Here is a 23,430-nt window from a genome sequence, read left to right as displayed (position 1 = left end):
TGCGTTTGAGTGCTTACTGTATACTGTGTGCTGTGCTAGGCCCTCCCTGAATCCTCACCAGACCCTGCACAGTGAGTGCTATGGTCCTTCTCACAGATGAGTAAACTGGGGCTCAGAGAGGCAAAGGTACTCACCCGAGGTCACACAGCCTGCAAGCGGCGGGCTGAGAGTACGATCCAGGCCCAACCCACGCCAGAGCCTGGCACCTAATCAGGAGCCACTGCCCATCACCAGGGCGCCTCAAGTTTCTCATCAAGGGGGTTCAGCAGTCCAGCCCAGTCCCAGTTTAGTCCAGAGCAGCCCTAAGGCTCAGAAGGGACAGGGGATGGACGAGCTTACAGGAATTAGATAAGTGAGAAGGATTAGTGGGGGTGGGGCCAACCTTAAGAGAGGAGACTGCCCCCAGAACCGAGGTGGCCACTTCCACGCTTACGGGAAGAGATGTCCAGGGTTACTGTCCTTGTCAAAGGAGATCAATGGATCCTCTGCCCTGCTTAAACCTTCCCTATCCACCTAAGGCTCCAGGACACAGCCACTCACGGCTGCCCCTTTCCCCATCAGGCACGAGGGCCCACACACATCACTGGCTGCTCCAGGGCCACTCCGGCCACCCAGAACAGTCTTCTCACTCCTGTCTGGCACATTCCTATTTGTCCTCTTCATGACTCATGTGCCACCTCTCCTCTAGGGCTTTTTGACCCTCAGGCTGGGTCAGGAACCTCATCTACTAGTTTGCCCTTGCTCCATCTACATCCCAAGAAGGTCCCTGGGGCGGCCAGGGGCAGCTTCACCGCCTCCCTCCAAGCAAGCCCAGAAGGGCAGGTGACAAGGAGCGAGTTTCAAGCTACACCTTCTTTCCCCTAGTGCTGGAGAAAGGAGTCCTGGGGGTGAGGGGACCAGACAGACCACAAGGCCGGGCGGAAGTTGTTAATCTACTCAACGCTGACCTGTAGGTCATAGGAAGAGAGGATTCAAATCTGCCTTTTGGTGTGGACAAAGCATCTTGGTGGGGCCAGACTCCCCCTCCATGGCTGATAGCCTCTGATGCCTGCAGGGACCCCTGTCCAATAAGTAGGAGTGTCCCCCAAACCCCATGGGAGGAGGTGGTAAGACACAAGGACTCTGGAGCCAGGAGGGCAATTCAGGACCGAACCTCTGCAGCTGCCTGGCTGATCACCTGTAGCCCATCACTTCCTCTGTTTAAGCCTCAGTTTCATTAGCTATAAAATGGGCCACAGCGTATGAGCCACTCCAAGGAGTAACTGAGATCATGTAAAACGCCTGGCATATAGGGAGATGCTGAGAAAGCTGGCACTCCCTCCTGCTCATCGTCTGGCACGCTGAGTGCCAAGCCCAGGGAGATGAGGGAAGGGAACAGAAGGAATTGCCCAATTCTGACAGCCTTTCCCTCTGCCTTGGCTGTGGAAGTGTAAATACTCGGCAGAGGGCCTCCAACTGCCTGTGTTTGTGAATCTCTGGCGCGCACTCCGAGTTTGTTTCTAAACTGGGAAGCTTCGAGAGGCAGCGCAAACAGCCCTTCTGCCCACCTCTCCCGGCTCTCCCCCAATCTGCTGTTGCTCCTCTGTCCTTGGAAGCTTGTGTGTTTAACGACACCATTTCAGCTGGAAATACCATCTCCCTGCCAAGCCCCCAAAAGCAGCTCCACCGATATTTATTGACCTGTTAATCTAGCTAGAGAGCTTGGTAGAAGAGCAGGGAAAATGCTCGCTGCATAGACTGGGGCCTGGCTTCTCCTAATGACCCGAACACACACTTTCTCTGCTCTTACCCCGCCCCACGCTGCTGAGGCAATGACAGTTTTCGAACCTTTTCCTAGAAATGTGATCACAGCAGTTTCACCAGCACCCGACACTGGCAATAATTGCTGGAAGGGACCTAGACGAATCCCAGAGCCAGCAGCAGGATGCTTGCTGGGGGTTCTCTGGGCCTTTGCAGGGAAGCGTGCCAGTACTGGGGTGTGTGTTGGTTGGGGGTGCCCTGACAGAGACACAGTTTATTCAGACCTTGGCACTGATGGGCCTCACTTGCCCGCCATTCACTTAAGCAGCCTCACAATATGCTCGTTGAAATCCTCTTAAACACCAGAAGGAGCAGGGGGCAATCAGGAGTTCCAGGTTGGCCAAGGCCCCTGACCTTGGGGTAGAACAGCATGGGGAGCCCCTGGACTAGGGGTGCAGCAGGCAGCAGCTCCTCTGCACCTTCCTTGGCTGGGGGAGGGGCACCCACATTTTCCCCAGCAGAAGTAGCCTATTGGAGGGCCGGAGGCCCACATCTCTCTGGGGACCCTGGGAACTTCAGCCTGCCAGCTGGGTACATGGTGGGGTTCAGGGAGGTCTCTTCTATAGCATCTCTTTTCAAAACAGAAAGTTGCTCTGTCTGGGAGGCCTGAGCCCCGAGGCACAGGCCAGGCTACATGGGCAAAGCTCTGAACACCTGTCCTTGCGGGGAGGAGCATCAACAGGGACAGCTGGCACTGCCTCCCTCCCCCACCTTATGGGGCGCTAAGGATTTAGGTCAGAGGACTGCAATGGTAGGGGTGGGGGGAGTCCGCCTTCACCCCTCCACTACCCAAAGGCATCCAGCCCCGCCCCTTGTTACCACGACCCCGCCCCCTCCGGCCTTGGGTCAAGGCAAGTGGTGTTGCCACGGCAACCCCAGTGACATCAGAGGCTAAGGTTTGACGTCATGTCGTGCCCCCACTGGGGAACCTACCGTCCCTGCGAGTTATTTGTGGGAACGTGGTTTGAACGAGGGCTCTAAGGTCTAGCCCCATGGGGCACAATTCTCAAACGTGGCCACCTGCGTTTCTGGAACCCCAAATCCCCCTCTGAGGTGATTTCCCTTGAAGATCTCAGAGGCTGCTCGGGAGACCCTCAACGTTTTCCCATCCTGGGTGCCCCCCACCCCCCAGCCCTTCCAAGACACTGGAGTTCCCGGGGAATTTTCGGATGACACAGCCAATACCTTTGTTAGCTTTACGGGTGGGGTGACCTTTCCTCTCTGGCAACCAACCCGCCCAGGGTCCCGCGGAATCCGAATGGGCCCCCCAACCTCCACTCCCATCGGCTGGCCCATCTGAACAAGTTGTGTTTGGAGGGAGGAAAGGGGCGGACAAGGGTTATCTCTGCTTCAGGACCCCCAACAGCCTAGGACCCCTTCTGTCCAATCCTGGCTGCCCGGACGCCAGGGGGTGCCCCCAGCTCCAGCGCAGAACCCCGCCCCGCACAACTCACCGGATCAGCCAGGCCGTCGAAGGGCACCAGGTCTCAGCTACCACGACGCTCCGCTCGACGGGTCGCAGCCATGCAGGAGTGGCAGAGGCTGCCTGACGAAGCCCTCCTTGGGGGTCGATGCCTCTCTCCGGGTGGGAAGGGGCGCTGTCGGTGAGGGCTATCCTGGCGCCGGCCTGCGCCGTCCGAAGTCGGGGGGGAGGGGAGGTCTCCGTTCAGCAGGGGTCACGCCCGCCCCGGACGGGGGCCGCGCGGGCGCTCAGGCGACGCATCTTCGCCGGGGCCCGTGATCGCCACGTCCGGCGGGCGGCGCTGCGCCTCCCCTCGGGGCCCCGCTCAAGGCTGCAGCTCGGCCCGCGCCGCTCCCAGGGCGCCCTCTCCGCCCGCGCTGGGAGCCCGGCGGCCGCGGCCCCTTTCGCCAGCCCCAGCTGCAGCCTGTCTTTGTTGCTTCCTCTCGCTCGCCCGCCCGCCCGCGGCTTGCAGCCCCCGGGTTCGCCCCGAGGTGGAGGGATTGTCTCCTTCGGGGGTTGCACGCACCCGCAGCGGCCCCGGCTCCTCGCCGGACATACACCGGCCCCTGCAGGTTGCAAAGAACAGCGGCGAGAATGCACCGGCCCCTCCTCCTCCTGCTCTGAGCCCCGGGTGTGGGGGGAGGGGAAGCCGGCGAACAGCGGCGGCGGCAGCGGCGGCGGCGGCGGCAGCGGGCGACGCAAGCTCGGATGCAGCCTCGGGGGCCTCGGCGCTGAGAAACAGCCGATCCCAGTGGCGCAGGACGGACACGAGGACGGCCCGGGGGACTGTGCACCGGGTGTGCGAGCTCGCAAGCCGCAGCAGGGGCCGCGCGCGCTGGGCTCTCACGCGCCCATGGCCCCGGGCGGCGCGCGGGGGCTCCCGGGGCCGCAGCCTCGCGCCGTCTGGCGCGCGCCGGCGCCTCGCCTGGTCTCAGGCCCGGGTGCCGCGCGCCGCGCCCCACAGGCGCCGGGCCCGGCTGTCCGCCTCCCCCGGCCGGCGCGCGCAGCCTCTCCGCGGAGCAGCCGGCCAGGCAGTCCTGCCCGCTGCTCCGCTCTGGCCCGACTGACAGGCGCGAGCGCCGGCAGCAGCCCCCGCGTCTCGTCCCCCGCCCGCCCCCCGCGGCCCAGCCCAATCAGCGGCGGCTGAGAGGCGGTTACCAGGGTGACGCGGCACCGCGTCCTGCGAGGGGCGGAGCCGGGGGCCGCCACGCGCGCTTTTCGCGGCAAAATTCAAAGGCCGGCAGGGCGGCTCTCCAACCTCCTCCCCCAAGCAGGGACGAGGCGGAACTTGCCTCGCGAGGACTGCAACTCCCGGCATGCTGCGCGCCGGCGCCGGGTGGAGGGGCCCCGACTGGGGGCGCAGGGCGTGCTGGTTTTTGTAGTCCCACTAGGGGTGGCAAAACCAGTGTCATTTACTGATCACATATTTGGGACAAGGCACTGTATAAGTGCATTATCGGCATTATTTCATTTAATCTTGGCAAAAACCAACCTCATGAGGAATTTGTTAAAAATAACAACTATAGCTAACACTTATGTAGCAAAGTATTTTATCTAATCCTCACAACACCGTGTGAGTGGGTATTACTATCACCCCCATTTTACAGATGAGAAAACTGATACGGTAGGTACTATTATTATACTTCCAACTTACAGAGGAAACTGAGGTAAGGAGATGTGAAGTGACATGGTCCTGGATGTTTTTGTCCTAAGGCTTATTTTTGGCAGCGATGTGTTTTTGGCATCACAGTTGTGATCTGTGGAGCGCTAACTATATAACCCAGCACAGCGCTGAGCAATTTGCAAGCTACACCTTCTAGACGTACCCCACGCCCACAGGAGACAGGCACTAGCCTACTCCCCCACTTAATAGATAGGGAAACTGAGGCATAGTTTCACATCAACCTGGGGTTCAAATATGAATCTATCAAACTATACTGTGCTTTCCCTTTTACTTTTAAAGAAGCTTCCTGGGTTCTCACAGCCCATGGGCGGCCCGTCTAGCAGTCTCATTTACAGATGGGGAAATTGAGTCCTGGGTGGGGCAGTTCCCTCAGTTGCTGTGTGTCCATCACACAGCACTGTAGGAAGCCAGCTTTCCGGGATAATAACAAAGATCCCCACAGAAATGCAGAGCAGCAGTCAGACCCCCCACCCCTCAGGCTATGCCCGTGTGATACCTGGAGTCCCACCGAAACTGGGTGGGATTGCAGCCCTGCCCTTGCTGGTTGTTGGTCTTGGCCATTTACCTTCACGGGTCTGCGCCTCAGTTTCTTGTCTGTGAAATGGGGGGCATCATAATTCCTACCTTACAGCGTAGATTTGAGGGCAAAATGAATTCTTGCATGTAAAGGACTCAAAACACACATTAAGTGCTCAATAAATGCCCTCTGTACTCACCCGGGCTGGAGGGCTTTGGAGACCCTGGGGAGCGTATCCAGCGGACGGGCTGATTATAGACGGGCCCTAGCCTACTTCCAGGAGCCAACCCACCCCGCCGGGAGAGGCGCCCGCGGCGGACCTCCAGGGCCGGCCCAAGTGGGTCACCCGCCGCCTTATCTAGGACAGGAGCTGGCCCTGTTTCAGGCCTCTAAGCGGCTGCTCGGCGCGCTGTTCCCAGCAGCTCCGCTCTATTTCTCCGCGGCCGCCCCCATCTCCTCCCCTTCCCTCCCCAGGCTGAAGGTGGGGGTGGGGATTTACCTGGAAATGTGTTATGCCTCCAGCTGCTTCCCGCTCGGGCCAGCAGCCAGGGCTGCGGGGACGTCAGGGAGGGCGGCCGGGGCGACTGGATGGGTGGACCCAGCGTGTGGACAGGTGGGGAGACCAGACTTCAGCTGAGGACAGGGCGAGGGACAGTAACAAGCAAACCCTGGGAAATGAGAGAGATCGCGAAGAGGAGAAGAAGGCAGCAGTTCGCACCACAGCCTGTCAAAAGTTTGGGATTTTTTTCATTGTAGGTCACCATGACTTCACACCTACTGTGTGTCAGGCATGGGCTCACTGCTATTTATCTCACATAACTCCTTTTACCCTCGCAGAAACCCTATAAGGTATATACGATCACTATGCACATCCTACAGCAGAGGAAGGCCACATGACTTACCCAAGGTCACACAAATGACAGAACCAAAGTCCAGAGCCCTGACGTTGATTTATTGCACCTTGTGGCAGCCACTGTCTGACCGTGTGCAACCTTGAGGGGAGTTTCTTCTCTTCTCTGGACCTCAGTTTCCCCTGCCATGAAATGGAGGGTAGGACCCAAACCCCAGCCCTACCAATCAGACTCTCCTTGGTGGGACAGCAGTTTCCAAAGCTCCTATGTGGTTCCTGATACAGCCAGGGCTGACAACCCCAGGTCGAGAAGATCTCAAAAGACCCCTCCATCTCTGAAGTTCTATGAGTCCACGATGTGCTCATGGTGGAATTTCCGACAGCAGCAGGCTCCAAGGCAGCTGTCCAGCAGGAGAGGTCAGAGCCTTCCAGATGCCTGTCGCTCCCCTCCAGGCAGGTGAATGCCCCGTAAGATGCTCTGCCCCACTCCCCACACTCCCAGTGCCCCCCTACCCCATATGCCCATCTCCCTGAGATCAGACCCTCGTGCCTTTGCTCTTGGTCGACTCCAATAACTGCATTATGTGATTGGAGACAGTGTCAAGATGGATTTGCCACGGTCCATAAAACCACCAGGCAGGCCAGCCCCGGAACACTGGCTCTGGCCAGGGGTCCGACAGGCCCTGAGGGGGCAGGGGGCAGAGGGCATCTCATCTCTCACTGTTCTTGTTTGCCTCCCACACACCAACCTTGCTGAAATACCTACAAATCCTTGCACGTGCCTCTCTCACCTCCAGGTCATTGCTTATGCTGTTCCTTCTACCTAGAATGCCCTCCCTCCAGGTAGCTAACTCTTGCTCCTCCTTCAGAGTTCAGCCAAAGTGCTGCCTCCTCCAGGAAGCCTTCCCTGACTACCCTGCTCCAGGCTGGAGCACTTCCCCCTTCACAGATGTGTCCAGTGTGTGTTATAATGGCCCACTTCTTTGTCAGGCTTCCCACTGGCCTGAGGGCTTTTCCAGGGCAAAGGCTGCATTCAGTTCATTTTATTCCCTAGCACAGGCCTGACATAGAGTCAGCACTCAATGAAGGTCTGTTGACTTAATCTCTGAATCACTGAATGAATGTGGCCCAAGTTTTTGTTTTGTTTTGTTTTCACGTAGAGGAGGAGAATTAAGAGAAGGGAGTAGAGTCAGGCTGACTGGGCTACTAGCCATATGACTCAGCCGCTCTGTGCCTCAGTTTCCCCCATCTTTGAAATGGGATTAATTGCCATTTCAATTAATCAAGGCATCACTCAAGGGGCCTGGAGGCTGGAACTTTTGTTCCCACCCTCCCACGTATGTAAGGCTAGTCTTGCTCTTCTCTGTTTTTTTGTTTTTTTGTTTTTTAGAGACAAAGTCTCACTCTGTCACCAGGCTGGAGTGCAGTGGCACCATCATAGTTCACTGCAACCTTGAACTCCTGGGCTCAAGTGATCCTCCCACTTTAGCTTCCTGAGTAGCTAGGACTACAAGGTGCATGCCCCCATGCCCAACTAATTTTTAAATTTGTTGAAGAGACGGGCTTTTGCTATTTTGCCCAGGATGGTCTCAAACTCCTGGGCTCAAGTGATCCTCCCACCTCGGCCTCCAAAAGTACTCGGATTACAGACGTGAGCCACCTGGTCCATCTTTGCCTTGCCCTTCTCTGGTCTCACGCACTGAAGCCTGAGCATTCCCCCTTTAAGTCTGCTAATTCCCTCATTCATTCAACATTTTCTAAGTACCTGCCCTGTGCTTGACACTGGGAATTCAGCAGTGACTCAGACCAAGACATAGGCCTCTTGGAACTCAGGTTTCATGGGGCACAGAGAAGGCAACTAACAGGTGTCATCCAGGGTACCAGTAGAGGGGACAGTCCGAAGCAGGCACCTGACTCAGCGGAGGGCCAGTGATGGTAAAAAGGCAAGTCAGCTACCCTGGGAAAAATGGGTAGGAGGTAGCCAAGGGCAGAGGTGAGGGAAGAGCGCCCCCGGAAGAGGGAACAACCAATGCAAAGGCCTAGTGTTCCAAGTGAGGGAGATGTGAACGCCCCAAAAGCAGAGGTGGGTGAGAGGCTGAGCTGGGGCTGGGGAGAGGGGAGCAGGCAGAGACGGGGCATTTATGCAGGCAGAGGGGGCAGGCCTGCTCCAGCCTCCCACCCCACCCCCAGTTGCCTCACCTGCCCTCATTGCTGTGATCTAGGCCAGAGCCCGGAGGGAGCCCAGCCCCCATTGGTGCACGCCACGTAGGTTTTTCAGAGATAATTTAATCAGAGCTATTAATAAGCAGAAAAGAAAGAGCTCTTTATGCTCCTCCTGGAGAAACGGGGAAAGAAGAAACACATGTAACCTTGTTATTCACCCAGCCCCGCCCCCCAGTACCTGAGTCTCTCTCTGGGGCAGGCCTAGTGGGGCAAGGAGGAGGGGGTGAGCTATGTGTAGGGCTGAAGAAGTCCAAGTGGCCTCAGGAACCGAACCCTGCCCATCTCCCTGACTATATCCCACCCTCACTCCCTTCTGGCCACTTTAGTCTCCTCTTGGTTACTTGAAGGTGCCAAACTATTTCCCACCTCAAGGCCTTGACCCAAGCCGTTCCTTCTGCCTGGAACATTCTTCCTTTTGCTCTCTGGTTTGTTCTCATACTTCCAGTCTCAGCTTAAATGTCACCTCCTCGGGGAAGCCCTCCCTGACTACCCGATCTGAAGTTATTTTCCCCAGAACACCTCCCTTTTGTTTTGCTTTCCCTCTCGTCAGTGCTTACTGCTGTTGGCAGCTTTCTGAGCACTTGCAGGATGACATTTATTTTCTTCTTATTTTTTTTTTTTTTTTTTGAGACAGACTCGTTGCACAGGCTGGAGTGCAGTGGTGTGATCTTGGCTCACTGCAACTTATGCCTCCCAGGTTCAAGCGATTCTCCTGCCTCAGCCTCCCGAGTAGCTGGAATTACAGGCACGTGCCACCACACCTGGCTAATTTTTGTATTTTCTTGTTTTTCCAGTAGAGACGGGGTTTCACTATGTTGGCCAGGCTGGTCTTGAACTCCTGACCTCAAGTGATCCACCCGCCTCGGCCTCCCAGAGTGCTGGGATTACAGGCATGAGCCACCGCGCCCGGCCTGGATGACGTTTATTTTCTGTTTACCTCTCTAGACTTAGCTCTGGGAGGGGAGAGACTGTCATTTCTTCACCGCTGTGTCCCCAGCACCTTGCATAGTCACTGGCACATAGTAGGATCTAGGTCATTATTTGTGGATGGAGTTGAAGAAGGTTCAGAGGGATTGGTTGCAGGGGAGTTGGGATAGGAACCAGGAGGTGGTAGGGGGTCCCTTCCACCTGGGAGACCCCCTCAGAATCAATAACCATTAAACGTCCCCCTTGTTTCACCACTGGGGACCAGGAGGCCCAGAGAGGGGAGGGCACTTGCCCAAAGTCATGCAAGTTTGGGCCAGGGGTGGAACTTGAACCCAGAGCCCTTTCAGGGCATCTGGTTCCACATGAGTCTCATCTCAAACACCTGCTCTGTGTTGAGGAGGATTCTGAGGTCTCGCCCAGGCTCAGAAGGGAAAGATTGCGGTGCTGCCGTGGATTAATGATGTCTGCCATGAGTCTGGGGCTGGATGTTGGGCTATTCCTGATAGCATGGAGGCTATTTCTGTGTTTGTGGTTTTGAGTTTGAAAGAGCACTAAGCTGGGAGTCAAGAGACTTGGTTCCTTCAGTCGGCACCACCATCTCATCATGTGACCCCTCAGATAAGAGAGCCAACCTCCCTGGGCCTCAGTGTCCTTATCTAAAAAGTGGGGCTATCTAGCCCAGCCCTGCCTAAATCAAGGAGTGTAATGATGGATGGGCGCAGTGGCTCATGCCTGTAATCCCAGCACTTTGGGAGGCCGAGCAGGCAGATCACTTGAGGCCAGGAGTTCTAGACCAGCCTGGCCAACATGGCAAAACCCTGTCTCTACTAAAACTATAAAAATTAGCCAGGCGTGTAATGAGAAAATGGATATAACATTTCCTGGAGCCTAATGTGTTCTACAAATATAATCAATGATTATTATTGTAAAATATATCAACAACAATAATCTATGAAGGCCCCATTGTTGACCAGGAGTTACCCCAGGTGCTTTGCATACATGATCTGTTAACTTTGCAACACGCCCGTGAAGAGGAACTGATGGCTTGTGTTAGAGATGCTGATTCTGAGGCTGGGGTCACTGGCCTTGCTGAAGGTCACACAGAGCTCCCGAGTGTGTGGAGCCAATATTTGAACCCTGGTCGGTTTCTTTGCCATAGTGGGTGTCTGACTTAGCTGCAGTCCTTACCAGACAGGAAATAGTGATTGGAGGCATGGGTGGTCCCCACCATCCCCCTCCAAGGTTCTCTCTGTCCTCTGGCCAGCTGGGCATGGTTCTCCCAGGCTGTGAGTGGCAGGGATATTTCCAGGGGATTAAACCCAGCCAGCCCCGCCTCCTCTCCAACCTGGAAAGGCCAGCAGGCTCTCCCAGGTCCTCCTAAGCCCTCCTGGCAGATTTCCTTTTGTACAAAAAGTTATTGACTTATCAAGGTTAAAATACATTCAGCTCAGGCCAATAAAACAGGGATACCGCTGCATCCCAGCTGCCATGAGCAGCCTGGTTTTCATGGCAACAGGCCCTCTTCTGCACATTAAACGGTTCAGTTGTGCAAAGTTCAGGCGTTACATAAACAGGGAGTTAACAACAGCAGTAGAAATCAATGTCTGGCCAGGCATGGCCCGGGGAGATAGCATTGATTGGGCCCTTCGTCTTCGATAGGCTGGGTCCCAACTTCTTGCCCAGCTGCACTGGGCTCCCTCCCGCAGCCCCAGACCTGGGCTCAGACCCAGGGAGCTCCACAGAGCTCCCTTTCTGGCTGCCCTTGCCACAGAGCCCCTTTCTGGCTGGGATCCAGGAGTTAGGGGATCTACTAAATTGCCTGGAGTTGTTCTGTAAACCATTATCGCTCAGAGATGCCACTCCATGGCCTTAAAATATGTTCTCGCCATTGTTAGTGGAGCCAGTGTTGTCTCATTGCCTTTTAAACCATCTTTGTGACAAGGAACAATCCTGCTGCCTTTATGTTCAGCATAAAAACCAGTGATACATCAAGATGTGCCCCAGGTCAAATAGGTTGAAATATGAAACCAAACTGGCTGTGTGACCTCGGGTAAGTTGCTTCACCTCTCTGATCCTCAGCTTCCCATTTTCTGAAAAGGCAAGAATGACGGCACCAACCTCATGGAGTGTAAGGGAGGAGAAGATGAAGAGATGCATATGGAGACCCTAGCTTGGGCCTGAGGAATGGCTTTTGTCAGGAAACCTACCCTCTGTATGTCTTCACCCTGATTCCAGCAGACACCCTGATGATGCAGAAAAAAGCAAGGAACTAGGAAGTGATATTTGGGTTCAATTCCAGCTCCATCACTAGCTGTGTGACCTTAGGCAAGTTACTTCACCACTCTGAGCCTTGGCATCCATTCCAAGATATATATATATATATGCTTATTTTTTGAATCTCAACATTCTCTCATATAAAATGGGGAAAATGCTCTTGCAACAGTGAAGGAAAAAACTCAATGAGTTCAACCACATGAATATGCTGGGCACATGGAAAGTGCCCAGTAAAGATTTATTGAATCAAATCCTTCCTCCAGTGTTCCAATGTCAGATCCACCCACCCTTGCAAAATGGAAAATCTGATGGGCTTTCTCTCAGAAAAGGGACAGCTAAGAGGAAATAAACGTCTGTTTCACTTATTGGAAGGCTCTAAAGTCAGGGACCTGGTCTTTTTCATCTCTGTATTAATGAACTATGTATCTATGTATGATACATACATGCATACTATCATCTGTGTATGAACTGTGAGCAAGTGTGATATAAGAATTGGTTGTGAGGCCGGGCGCGGTGGCTCACACCTGTTATCCCAGCAGTTTGGGAGGCTGAGGCAGGAGGATCACTTGAGCCCAGGAGTTTGAGACAAGCCTGGGCAACATGGTGAAACCCTGTGTCTACAAAAAAATACAAAAATTAGTCAGGCGTGGTGGTGCGCACCTGAAGTCCCAGCTACTCTGGAGGCTGAGGCAGGAGGATTGCTTGAGCCCAGGAAGTGGAGGCTGCAGTGAGCCAAGATTGTGCCACTGCACTCCAGGCTAATCAACAGAGCAAGACCCAGCGTCCAAAAAAAAAAAAAAAAAGTGATTGTGTGATTGTGCCCCTTTTCCACCAACTTTCTCTTGTGCCCCGAGGCAGAAGATCGACTCTTCCTAGGCAGGGCAGGGCTAAAAGATGGATGGAGCTTGGATCCCTGAATCACTTGTGGATGAAAGTTGCCCACCTGTTGATCAATGCCATAAGCTTTGAAACTGCTGCATGATATATACTGCTTAAATGCCTGTGTCTGTTGCAGCCGCTGGTGTTGCCATCACAGATTCATAGGGTTTCCCAAAAAGAACTCAAACTCCTCACTATAGCCCTCTCTGAGTCATGAAATCTTGCAGGGCTGGGAGGGTGCCCTTATTGGATAAAGCAACTACAGTAAAATATTAATGGTAGACACCAGGTGGTGGATATTAAAGTGTTCATTGTAAATGTCTTTCAACTTTGCTGTATGTTTGAATTTTTTCATAATAAAATGCTTGAAAAAAGTCTAATCTGGTACTTTCAAAACATTTCTAGGAGCCTTAGGGTTTTAGGAAGATGCCTCAGGGACCTCTAGTTGGTGAAAGGGGTGGGCGGAGGTGGTGGAAAAGATAAAGCTCTGGAATCTGCACTCCAGTCCCTGCACTGCCAACTTCAACTAGGGCATGTTCAATTTCAATCTGAAGTCAAGGACCTGGTCTTTTTCATCTTTGTATGGTCAAGGCTTGGCACAGAGCCCAGGTATACAACAAGAGCTCAATATGTGCTTGTTGAACAAAGTTGAACTCTTCTGGAGAGATGGCTAGGCCCCCTCTGACCTGGCATGGGGTGGCATGAAGACAGGGGGATAAATCCCGTTTCAAATTGGGGTCTGAACCCCTTTTCAAATTGGGGTTCAGCGTTTTTACAGTTTCAACAATAAAGATTTGAAAACTTCTGGTTCAATCCTCTCATGTCATCACTGGGGAAACTGAGGCTCAGAGAGGGGAAGAGATTTGCCACAGTGAGCCAGTGGCTGCTCATCAAACTCAAACTCAGCCTTCCTGGTCCCTGGGACAGTTTCTTTCTGGAAGTTTCTGGGAAGACTCCACCCTGGGGGCTAATGAGAGCGAAGGAGTGAGGGTTGGGCACAAGTTTGAACTCCCCTAACCCACACCTACCAGCCAGAGCCCTCTGCTTTTGGCTGTCTTATACATTGAGTATCATGGTATTTGACCAAAGGGACCTGTGATTGGGGAGTGGCTTATTTATTTATTTATTTATTTTTTCAGAGGGAGTCTCACTTTGTTGCCCAGGCTGGAGTGCAATGGCATGATCTTGGCTCACTGTAACCTTCACCTCCCAGGTTCAAGTAATTCTCCTGCCTCAGCCTCCCGAGTAGCTGAGATTACAGGCGCCTGCCACCATGCACAGTTAATTTTTGTATTTTTAGTAGAGACAGGGTTTCACTAGTTTGTCCAGGCTGGTCTTGAACTCCTGACCTCAGGTGATCTGCCCGCCTTAGCCTCCCAAAGTACTGGGATTACAGGCATGAGCCGCTGTGCCTGGCCCTGGGGAGTGGCTATTTGAGAGGTGATGGGAGGACACTGGGGAAGACTCAGTGAGCCAACAGTATCCTGGGGTGGGACCATGCCCCTCCCCCTCCATCCCAGCACCGTCCCCTTCTCTGGAGCTGCAGTGGGAAGATGGATGGGAGGAGGCAGGGCTGGGACAGACCATGCAGCAATGATGGATTTGGACCCCAACCAGAAGCCCCTGGGTCATCTGGGACCATGAACAGAGGTGAGAGGTCACGCATGCAGGGCAGGTGAGTCAGCAAAGGACAGGGACGAGGAGTCAGCTCGGGTCTGACAGCTGGTGATGGTCTTAGAGTTGGCATGTACCCTAAGCCTGGCACTCCTCTCATACTAGCTGCATCCTTCATTCATTCGGCAACTCCAGTGTGCCAGGTGCCAGGCCGGAGATTCCAGGATAAACGGGCACTGCTTCTGCCCTCAGGGGCTCACAGTGCAGGCGGGGAGAGGGCAGATGGGAAAAGAAGAGCAGCGCCACCCCCCTAACCCTTGAAAACAACCAGCCACGTGACCTTGGGCAGGTCCCATCAACCCTCTGAGCCTCAGTTTCCCCATCTGGAAGATGAGGATAATTACAGTTCCAAACTGATCATGTGTGTGATGAATTTGGCACAGAGCTTAGCATGGAGAAAGGATGGCTCTCTTCCCCTGACTTCCAATTACAAGAGAAGGGAAGGGTCTCTTTACCCCATCTGGACTGTTTCAGTTGAGGCAGAGGCATGGATTTTTTTTTCTTTCCTTAATACTGGGTCTGGCTCTGTCATCCAGGCTGGAGTGCAGTGGTGTGATCTCAGCTCACTGTGACCTCTGCCTCCCGGGCTCAATAGACCCTCCTGCTTTAGCCTCCTGAGTAGCTGGGATTATAGGTGTGCCCCACCACATCCAGCTAATTTTTGTATTTTTAGTAGAGACGGGGTTTCACCATGTTGGCCAGGCTGGTCTCCAACTCCCCAACTCAAGTGATCTGCCCACCTTGGCCTTCCAAAGTGCTAGGATTACAGGCATGAGCCACCACACCTGGCCTCAGAGGCATGGATTTGAATCCTTGCCTCACTTATTAGCTGTGTGACCTTGGGCCAATCACTTCCCCTCTCTAGGCCTTGGATCTATAAAATAATAATAATAATAAGAAGAAGAACTGCCTTGTCCAATGGTTATGATGCTGTAGTAAGTTAAAATGTGAAAGTGCTTAGAATAGTGCCTGGCCCACAGCTAACACTCAATGAACTTCAACGTTTGTTGTTAGTGCTATGATGGACACTGAGTCTGCAACAGCAATAATAACACCTACAATAGCAATAATAATAACACCAATATTGGCCTAGTGCTAGATGAGGACTTGGAGACCATCTAAACTGGTCTGGTGCCTGGGTGCCCACTCTGACTCATCAGGAGGGAATGCCTGGAGTATTGGCTTGGGTTGCTTTGCTATTTCATCTGGGCTTAGTGAGAATGGTGCTGCAACCGATTAGCAATGCCTGCAGTGGGCAAGGAAGGGAAGAGTTAGGGAAGCCATGCTATTGATTAGCCATTCCTGATGCTGGTCCAAGCCCTCTCCTTGTACAGATGAGGAAACTCAGAGAAGGAAGAGGGCAGCTCAGAGGAAGCTCAGAGAAGGACTAAGGCTTGCTCAAGGCCACACAGGCAGTCAGAGACAAGACTCCTGAGCCTGCCTCTGCAGTTCCTTGCTGGGCCCTGGTCTATGTCACTTAATCCTGCGGAGAAGAGTCATTATTTCTCCATTACATTTCCCAGTCTGTTTTCTGGAAGGAAGTTAATTGATTTAAACTTTTCCAGGATGATTCTCCCTCCTCCTACCCTCCCCTGGGCCCCCGATTCTATTATCGCTCTGCCTCACGGAAATAAGGAGGTGGCATCTGGGAGAGCAAGCACGGTCTCCAGGCAGGGCGTCCACATGGGCACGGAGTGGAGAATGCGGGCCTTGCCTGAGGCTGGGTCTTCTGGGCACCTCCATGTATAATGACAATAACTACCAGGACTCAAGTGTATGGAGTTGGGTTACCATCAAGAGTAGCTACCACAGCCCACAGGGTTCACTGGCTCTTCACATCCCACCAATTTGCAGAAGGGGAAACTGAAGCACAGAAAGAGTTCCACAGCTGGCATTCAAACTCAAGACTGGTGGGCTCCAACTTTCTCATGCTTTTATTTATTTTTAAATTTTATTTTACAGAGACAGGGTCTCGCTATGTTGCCCAGGCTGATCTGAAACTCCTGGGTTCAAGCTATTCTCCCACCTTGGCCTCCCAAAGTGCTGAGATTACAGGTGTGAGCCACTGCACCCAGCCCAAATTCCAAATTCTTTACCATTCATAATCACTGCCACCTTGGCTCTGTCAAAATCTGATCGCCCCAAATGCTCTGTTCATATCCTCACACCAGAACTGCAAAGTTGGCTGAATGGTGATCTTTGGCACTGTTTGATAAAGAAGAAACTGAGGTCCAGAGTAGGGGAGTGACAGATCTTGAGCCACACTGCAAGTGGAGCCAAGGCCCTGTCCTTTGGCACCATGAGGAAGAAGAAGGGCAAGAGGGGCTTGGAACAGGGCTGGCCACAGCAGCTCTTGCAGCCTATTCATCTTCTGAGCTGAAATATTTATTTACGCACCCCATTTAATCAGGATATGCCGTAATTAGCAGCAGATTTGTGCCTCCTGCCCATGGTGTTATTTATTTCGGGTTCCAGGCAGCCACTTTCCTGGCTGAGTGTGTTCTGGGCCTGGATTTCAATCAGATGGGGCCACGGCAGAGCCGTCCCTGGGGACCTCACGGCAGCAATGCCCCCCTCTGAATGATAAATGAGCCCACAGACAGCAGAAATGCTGCCCAGCTGCTCTGGGGGGCTGGCGTGCATGGGGTGTGGAAGGAGGTGTACTCACCAATCCCAGGACCTTGTCACAGAGAAACTCCCCCTCCCCCAGTGCCAGACAATAGCTTGGCATTTCCCAGCCCCAGGGAGAAACATGCAAGAGAGATGGCACCACACAGACCACATTGCAGTCCTGCTTTTAGAATCTAAGAGTGGAAGGGACTTAGGAAGGACTCCTGTTCCGATTTCTGTCCCAGGATTGGTTTATATCTCAGCATCTCTCATTTGGGGGGCATGTTCATCTGTTCACGGTCCCCATGGGGCTGGAAGTTCCTTTTGGGTCTAACTTAAGGTAAAAGCTTTGCAACTCTGGTCCCCAGGTGATCCCATGAATGACACCCTCTGTGGCTGTCCGGAGAAGGCAGAGGAAAACTGGGAGGGTATGGATGGTGGGAAAGGGCTTCGCTTGATATTGGAGGGAATGAAGGAGAAATAAGCCTTAACCTTTATGGAGGCCTATTCTGTGCTAAGCCCTTTATGTGTGTTTGGGGGAGTTTCTTCTCAGCCTCTTGGTGCCTCTGTTTGCTCAGGTGTAACATGAGGATAATAGCAAACCCTATCTCCTAAGATTGCTGTGAGAACTAAAGGAGTTAATGCACGCAGAACCCCTGAAAAGCAGCTGGCACGTAGTAAGTGCTCAATAATTTTGCACTATTGGCTTGGCCTGGTGGCTGATGCCTGTAATCCCAGAACTTTGGGAGGCCGAGACAGGTGGATCACCTGAGGTCAGGAGTTCGAGACCAGCCTGGCCAACATGGGGAAACCCCATCTCTACTAAAAATACAAAAATAAGCCGGGCATGGTGACACGTGCCTGTAGTCCCAGCTACTCAGGAGGCTGAGGCAGGAGAATTGCTTGAATCTGGGAGGCGGAGGCTGCAGTGAGCTGAGATTGCTCCATTGCACTCCAGTCTGGGCAACAGAGCAAGACTCCATCTCAATAATAATAATAATTGTGCGCTATTGTTATTATTTGGTGGTAAATTCTTACACTAACCTGGCAAGTCAGATTCACACCATTTTACAGATGAGGAAACTGAGGCTCAGGAAGGGCCAGTATTGCCCATGAGGCAGGCCTCATCATTCTTATCTCCCAGAAGGCGGAACTGAGGCAGTCCTCCCCGTCTCTGGGATGTCTTGTCTGGAAAGGGGCACATAGGTACTGACCTCACAAGGTACCTTGGGAATTGGGAGAGAGCAGCTATGAGAGGCACCCAGTGTGGATCAGCAGGTAGAGGTGCCCAGTCTGGTGTTAGAAGCCCATCCTTTGGCCACAGAGGAGCTAGGTCCCAGGGCTGGCTCAGAGGAGCTCCCAATATGCCTCCCGAGTCATGAAATGATCCTAAGGAGGTAGCATGAAGCAGCCACAGCTCCCTGGGGTTTGCTGGCAATTAGGCCAGAAGCCATCAGGGAGATCCCATTGTCCCTGCCCTGGTTGGGACAGGGTTTGTGGCTGCGCCTCCCCCAGGAACCACTGCTTCCAGGCCACCTGCCCTGATGAGGTCAGTGGGAGAAGTGGCTATAACAGGTGTGGGGTGGGGGCTGTCCAGGGGAGTCAGCCACGTGGGTCTCATTTTGCAGATGAGAAAACTAAGGCTTAACGAGGAGAGATGACTTGCCCAGGTGCAGACTGTAAGCCCCGGAGGCTCTGAGAGAGCCCCAGATAAACAGCTCCTGGGCCAGGTGAGGTGGCTCACACCTGTAATCCCAGAACTTTGGGAAATCAAGGCAGGAAGATTGTTTGAGCCCAGGAGTTTGAGACCAGCATGGACAATCTGGCAAAACCCCATCTCTACAAACATTTTAAAAAAAAAATTTAGCTGGGGGCTGGGCACGGTGGCTCACGCCTGTAATCCCAGCACTTTCGGAGGCCAAGGTTGGAGGATCACCTGAAGTCAGGAGTTTGACGCCAGCCTGGCCAACATGGTGAAACCCCATCTCTGCTAAAAATATAAAAATTAGCTGGGCGTGGTGGTGGGCACCTGTAGTCCCAGCTACACTCAGGAGGCTGAGACAGGAAAATCGCTTGAACCTGGGAGGCGGAGATTGCAGTGAGCCAAGATTACGCCACTGCACTCCAGCCTGGGCGACAGAGCAGGACTCCATCACAAAACAAAACAGAAAACAGCTACTGACAGCTGCATCTATCAGGCTGGTCTGGATCCTGTGTGGCCTTGAGCGAATTATCAACCTCTCTGAGCCTCCCTTGACTCAGGTGCCATAAAGGGAATAATAATATCTACCTGGGCATGGGGGTGGACGACAAGGTGGATATGAGGATCACAGAATACCAGACACACCAGTCACTCAGAGTTGGATTTTTTTTTAATTTTTATTTTCTTACAGAGTCTCCTCTGTCGCCCATGCTGGAGTGCAACAGTGTGATCCCAGCTTACTGCAGCCTTGACCTGCTGAGCTCAGATGATTCTCCAGCCTCAGCCTCCCAGGTAGCTGGGACTACAGGCACCTACCACCACACCCAGCTAATTTTTGTATTTTTTGTAGAGATGGGGTTTCGCCATGTTACCCAGGCTGGTCTCAAATTCCTGGGCTCAAGCCATCTTCCTGCCTCGGCCTCCCAAAGCGCTGGGATTACAGCATGAGCCACCGCACCTGGCCAGAGGATGCTTGAAACAGGACAAAGCCGTGTTTGGGGGAAGGGGCTCTTCTATGTCTATACTGTGTGCCTTCCCACCTTGGCCCAGGCTGTTCCCTTGGCCTGAATGCCTTTCCTGGTCTCCTTTCCCAGGTTACCTTCTACTGAGTTTGGTCCCAGCTCACTTGTCACCTCCACTGGGAAGTTCTCACTGATGCTCCTCCATGAGGGGCCAAGCAACATCTTTACACGCCCCACCCTCAACTTCATCACAATACCCCTATCATCTACTCACATGCTGTGAGCTCCAGGGTCGGGGGAGGTTAGATAAGGCACCACACTTAATCTGGTTTGCACTGTAGCCCTGGCGTCCTGTATGGGCCTGGCACGTGGAAGGCGCTAATAAGCATTTGTTCAGTGACTGACCGCGCACTGAATGAGTGAGTAGCTGAACCAATGAATGGCACTCGCTGGCACGCCTGCCTGGCTTCCTGGCCCTCGACCTTCTTTGCAGAGAACCAGGATGCTGGCAGCTGGGGTGGATGCAGCTAAATTTGAATCCCCTGTAACAGGAGATGCCTGGATGTGAGGCCAGCCCTGGACACTAATTTGCCTTCTCTGGAATAACCTGGTCAGCTAGATGCTGCCTAGGAGAAGCCAGGGAGAAGCTGGCTCTGGGCTGCCCACCTTTAGCGCCTGTACAGGAGCTGCAGAAAAGGCTAATCTGGAATCAGCCAGGCCTGGGTTTGAATTCCAGTCTAGATGCCTTCACCACCTTGGACTATAGTTTTTCTCATCTATGAAATGAACTTACTGATATCCTGAAGCTACTCTCTGCAATTAGAAAAGGCTCTTTTGGTCGGGCACAGTGGCTCATGCCTGTAATCCCAGCACTTTCTGAGGGCGAGGCAGGTGCATCACTTGAGGTCAGGAGTTCGACACCAGCCTGGCTAACATAACAAAACCCCATCTCTACTAAAAAAAAAAAATACAAAAATTAGCCAGGTGTGGTGGTGTGTGCTTGTATTCCCAGCTACTTTGAAGGTTGAGGCAGGAGAATTGCTTCAACCTGGGAGGTGGAGATTGCAGTGAGACGAGATCATGCCACTGCACTCTAACCTGAGAGACAGAGTGAGACTCCATCTCATGAAAGAAAAAACAAAAAAAGGAAAAATAAAAAAAGAAAAGGTCCTTTGATGAGGTGAGGGCAACACACTGGTACAGTCTGTCCTACTTCCTGGCCTCCTCATCCAAGGGAGGTCCCAGGCCGCAGCTTCCAACATGCTGAGCTTCAGGGACCCCCATCATCTTCTAATCTCTTCCACACTGATGCTGACCTCTCTCTTGGAAATTCTCACTGGGAGAAGGGCTAAAAAAGCATCCGCAGCCACTTACTGAGCACCTACTATGCGCCAGGCACTGGATATTCCTACCCTCACTGGATCCTCCCCACTGCCCTCATTTTACAGATGAGGAAATTGAGGCTTAGAGAGGGAGGACAGGGGCCCCCAAGGGCGCACAGCTGGAAAGTGCTGGGCATGGGACTAGAATCTATGACCCCCTGGCTCTGAAACAGCCTCTTCTTGGGTGATGACTCATGGCCTCTGTGACTCACAGAAAACACAAACCAAAACCCACCTCCCAGTTAGGCCCTGCAGAAGGGGAAGTTATTTAGGGGAGACTGAGAGCCAGGCAAAACAACAACAACAACAAAAACAACCTTGTAGAGACCACCTTTGATGACTACTATTGCTGTCTGATTAATGGTAATAATAACCCACGTTTTGAGTGTTTCCCACCTGCCATGCCCACTGAAGTTCCTCAAGAACTCTCTTAGGACAGGTTCAAAATGTATCCCCATTTTAAAGGTGAGGAAACTGAGGCTCAGAGAGATTAAGTAATTTGCTGGAGATCACCCCGTTGGGAGAGGCAGTACTATGATTTGAACCCTAGTGACCCCAAAGTGCATGTTCCTTGGCCAGAGGTCTTTTCCACGGATGGGATCAGGAAATGTTTGTTGATTGACTGATTGACTGAAAGAATGAATGAGCAAAAGAATGATTTAATGAATGAATGGCCAGATCTAGGATGTCTATTAGGGGTGGCAGAGGAACCTCCAAGTCCAACCCAGGCCACCCCCAGACCTTCCTCCTGACCTCCCACTGGGCCTTCTATCTCTCGGCTCATCCGGGAGTGCTGGTGAGTGGCCATCTGGTGGGGTGGAGCGAGGATAGGGGCTGGACTTCCCCAGCCTCTCTCCTACTCCGAAAGGCTCACACTCTTTGTGACTTACTGTTTGACTTTACAAGCTCCTTGGCTTTTATGAGGGTTATTTATAAAGCTCTGGGCTTTGATCCTCAGCATGAAAAAAGCCAACTCCTGTGTCTGAAAATGTCACAGGGATTAGGGGAGCCTTTGAAGTCCCCTCCTGGCAGTCGGCGCCTGCCCAGCTTCCCCTCCAAAGGGGCTCCAAGCCTGGAAGCCCTGGCCAGGGCCTAGGGGCCTTCCTCTGGGGTGGAAGTGTCCTCAGTCCAGGTGAGTGACAGATGGGGGCCTCCTACCCTTGGAACACTCCTCCCAGATGGGCACACTTCCCAGACCCAGGCACAAACAGGGCCTCCCTTGTCTCCAGATGTTGACAACATCTGTCTCTCGTGTTTATGGACAGCCAGAGGCTGCATCTCGTGTCCCTGAGCCCAGCAGTAGGGACTTTGGGGGTGCTAAAAATGGATTATTACCATTTTATTGGTAGGGAAAGCGACAAGAAATATAAATAGGAAGGTAGGAGGAACAGCTCTTAGCGAGGCAGGTAGCTGGGTCTCCTGAGGCTGTCTACTTCCTTCCGTCTTCCCAACCCTGGGGTCCAACGTTCCACCCTGCAGGTAGGGAGGGACTCCTTCGTTCCGCCTCCTGTAGTCAGACAGGTCACAGCTGGAGGGGTTTGGGCTAGCTCATGGCGGTGCAGTGGGGGCAGCGGAGAGATGGACCCAAGTAGTCCAGAGAAGCAGTGGTGTTTCCTGCTCCCTGCAATGCCCCAGTGGTGCGAGACCAGAGGGGGCGACAGGATGACCTTGTCCATCTCCTCCTCCTTTTTTTTTTTTTTTTTTTGAGACAGTCTCACTCTGTTGCCCAGGCTGAAGTGCAGTGGTGCGATCTCGGCTCACTGCACCTCCACCTCCCGGGTTCAAGTGATCCTCCCGCCTCAGCCTCCCAAGTAGCTGTCATTACAAGAGTGAGCCACCATGCCTGGCTAATTTTTGTATTTATTTTATTTTATTTTATTTATTTTTTGAGATGGAGTCTCGCTCTGTTGCCCAGGCTGGAGTGCAGTGGCGTAATCTTGGCTCACTGCAGGCTCCACCTCCTGGGTTCACGCCATTCTCCTGCCTCAGCCTCCCGAGTAGCTGGGACTACAGGTGCCCGCCACCACACCTGGCTAATTTTTTGTATTTTTAGTGGAGACGGGGTTTCACCGTGTTAGCCAGGATGGTCTTGACCTCCTGACCTTGTGATCCGCCCACCTCGGCCTCCCAAAGTGCTGGGATTATAGGCGTGAGCCACCACACCTGGCTAATTTTTGTATTTTTGGTAGAGACAGGGTTTCACAATGTTGGCCAGGCTCGTCTCAAACTCTTGACCTCAAGTGATCCGCCCACCTTGGCCTCCTAAAATGCTGGGATTACAGGTGTGAACCATCACGCCTGGCCCCCCTTTTTTTGAGACAGGGTCTTGCTCTGTTGTCCAGGCTGGAGTGCAGTGGCACAATCACTGCTCACTGCAGCCTTGACCTCCTGGGTTCAAGTGATCCTCCCACCTCAGCCTCCTGAGTAGCTGGGACCACAGGCACACACCACTATGCCCAGCGAATTAAGAAAATTTTTTTTTTG

The 23,430-nt window shown here is 53.2% G+C and overlaps 1 protein-coding gene across 2 annotated transcripts in view, besides 4 other annotated features; it reads right to left on the bottom strand.

The window, feature by feature from the left end:
- FAM222A (family with sequence similarity 222 member A) overlaps positions 1-4,327 on the bottom strand; it is a 56,671-nt gene extending 52,344 nt beyond the window's left edge. For both annotated transcript variants that reach the window (NM_032829.3, XM_024449229.2), the window contains exon 1: positions 3,255-4,327. The gene's annotated coding sequence lies outside the window, so the exon portion shown is untranslated. The remainder of the gene's footprint in view (positions 1-3,254) is intronic.
- Positions 4,187-4,236: a silencer, noted in NCBI's record as "silent region_4843". NCBI's record gives its function as "represses an Ori minimal core promoter by ATAC-STARR-seq in GM12878 lymphoblastoid cells {active_cell/tissue: GM12878}" and the evidence as "EXISTENCE:reporter gene assay evidence [ECO:0000049][PMID:35858748]".
- Positions 4,267-4,596: a silencer, noted in NCBI's record as "silent region_4842". NCBI's record gives its function as "represses an Ori minimal core promoter by ATAC-STARR-seq in GM12878 lymphoblastoid cells {active_cell/tissue: GM12878}" and the evidence as "EXISTENCE:reporter gene assay evidence [ECO:0000049][PMID:35858748]".
- Positions 5,302-5,865: an enhancer, noted in NCBI's record as "H3K27ac-H3K4me1 hESC enhancer chr12:110150092-110150655 (GRCh37/hg19 assembly coordinates)". NCBI's record gives its function as "activates a minimal SCP1, AML or CMV promoter by ChIP-STARR-seq in naive H9 embryonic stem cells {active_cell/tissue: H9 hESC(naive)}" and the evidence as "EXISTENCE:reporter gene assay evidence [ECO:0000049][PMID:30033119]".
- Positions 21,511-22,320: an enhancer, noted in NCBI's record as "H3K4me1 hESC enhancer chr12:110133637-110134446 (GRCh37/hg19 assembly coordinates)". NCBI's record gives its function as "activates a minimal SCP1, AML or CMV promoter by ChIP-STARR-seq in primed H9 embryonic stem cells {active_cell/tissue: H9 hESC(primed)}" and the evidence as "EXISTENCE:reporter gene assay evidence [ECO:0000049][PMID:30033119]".

The sequence above is a fragment of the Homo sapiens genome, chromosome 12 (genome assembly GCF_000001405.40).
Source record: "Homo sapiens chromosome 12, GRCh38.p14 Primary Assembly".
Classification (NCBI taxonomy): Eukaryota; Metazoa; Chordata; class Mammalia; order Primates; family Hominidae; genus Homo; species Homo sapiens.
Note: the sequence above shows the minus strand (reverse complement) of the source record. Positions and strands in the feature narration are given on the sequence as shown.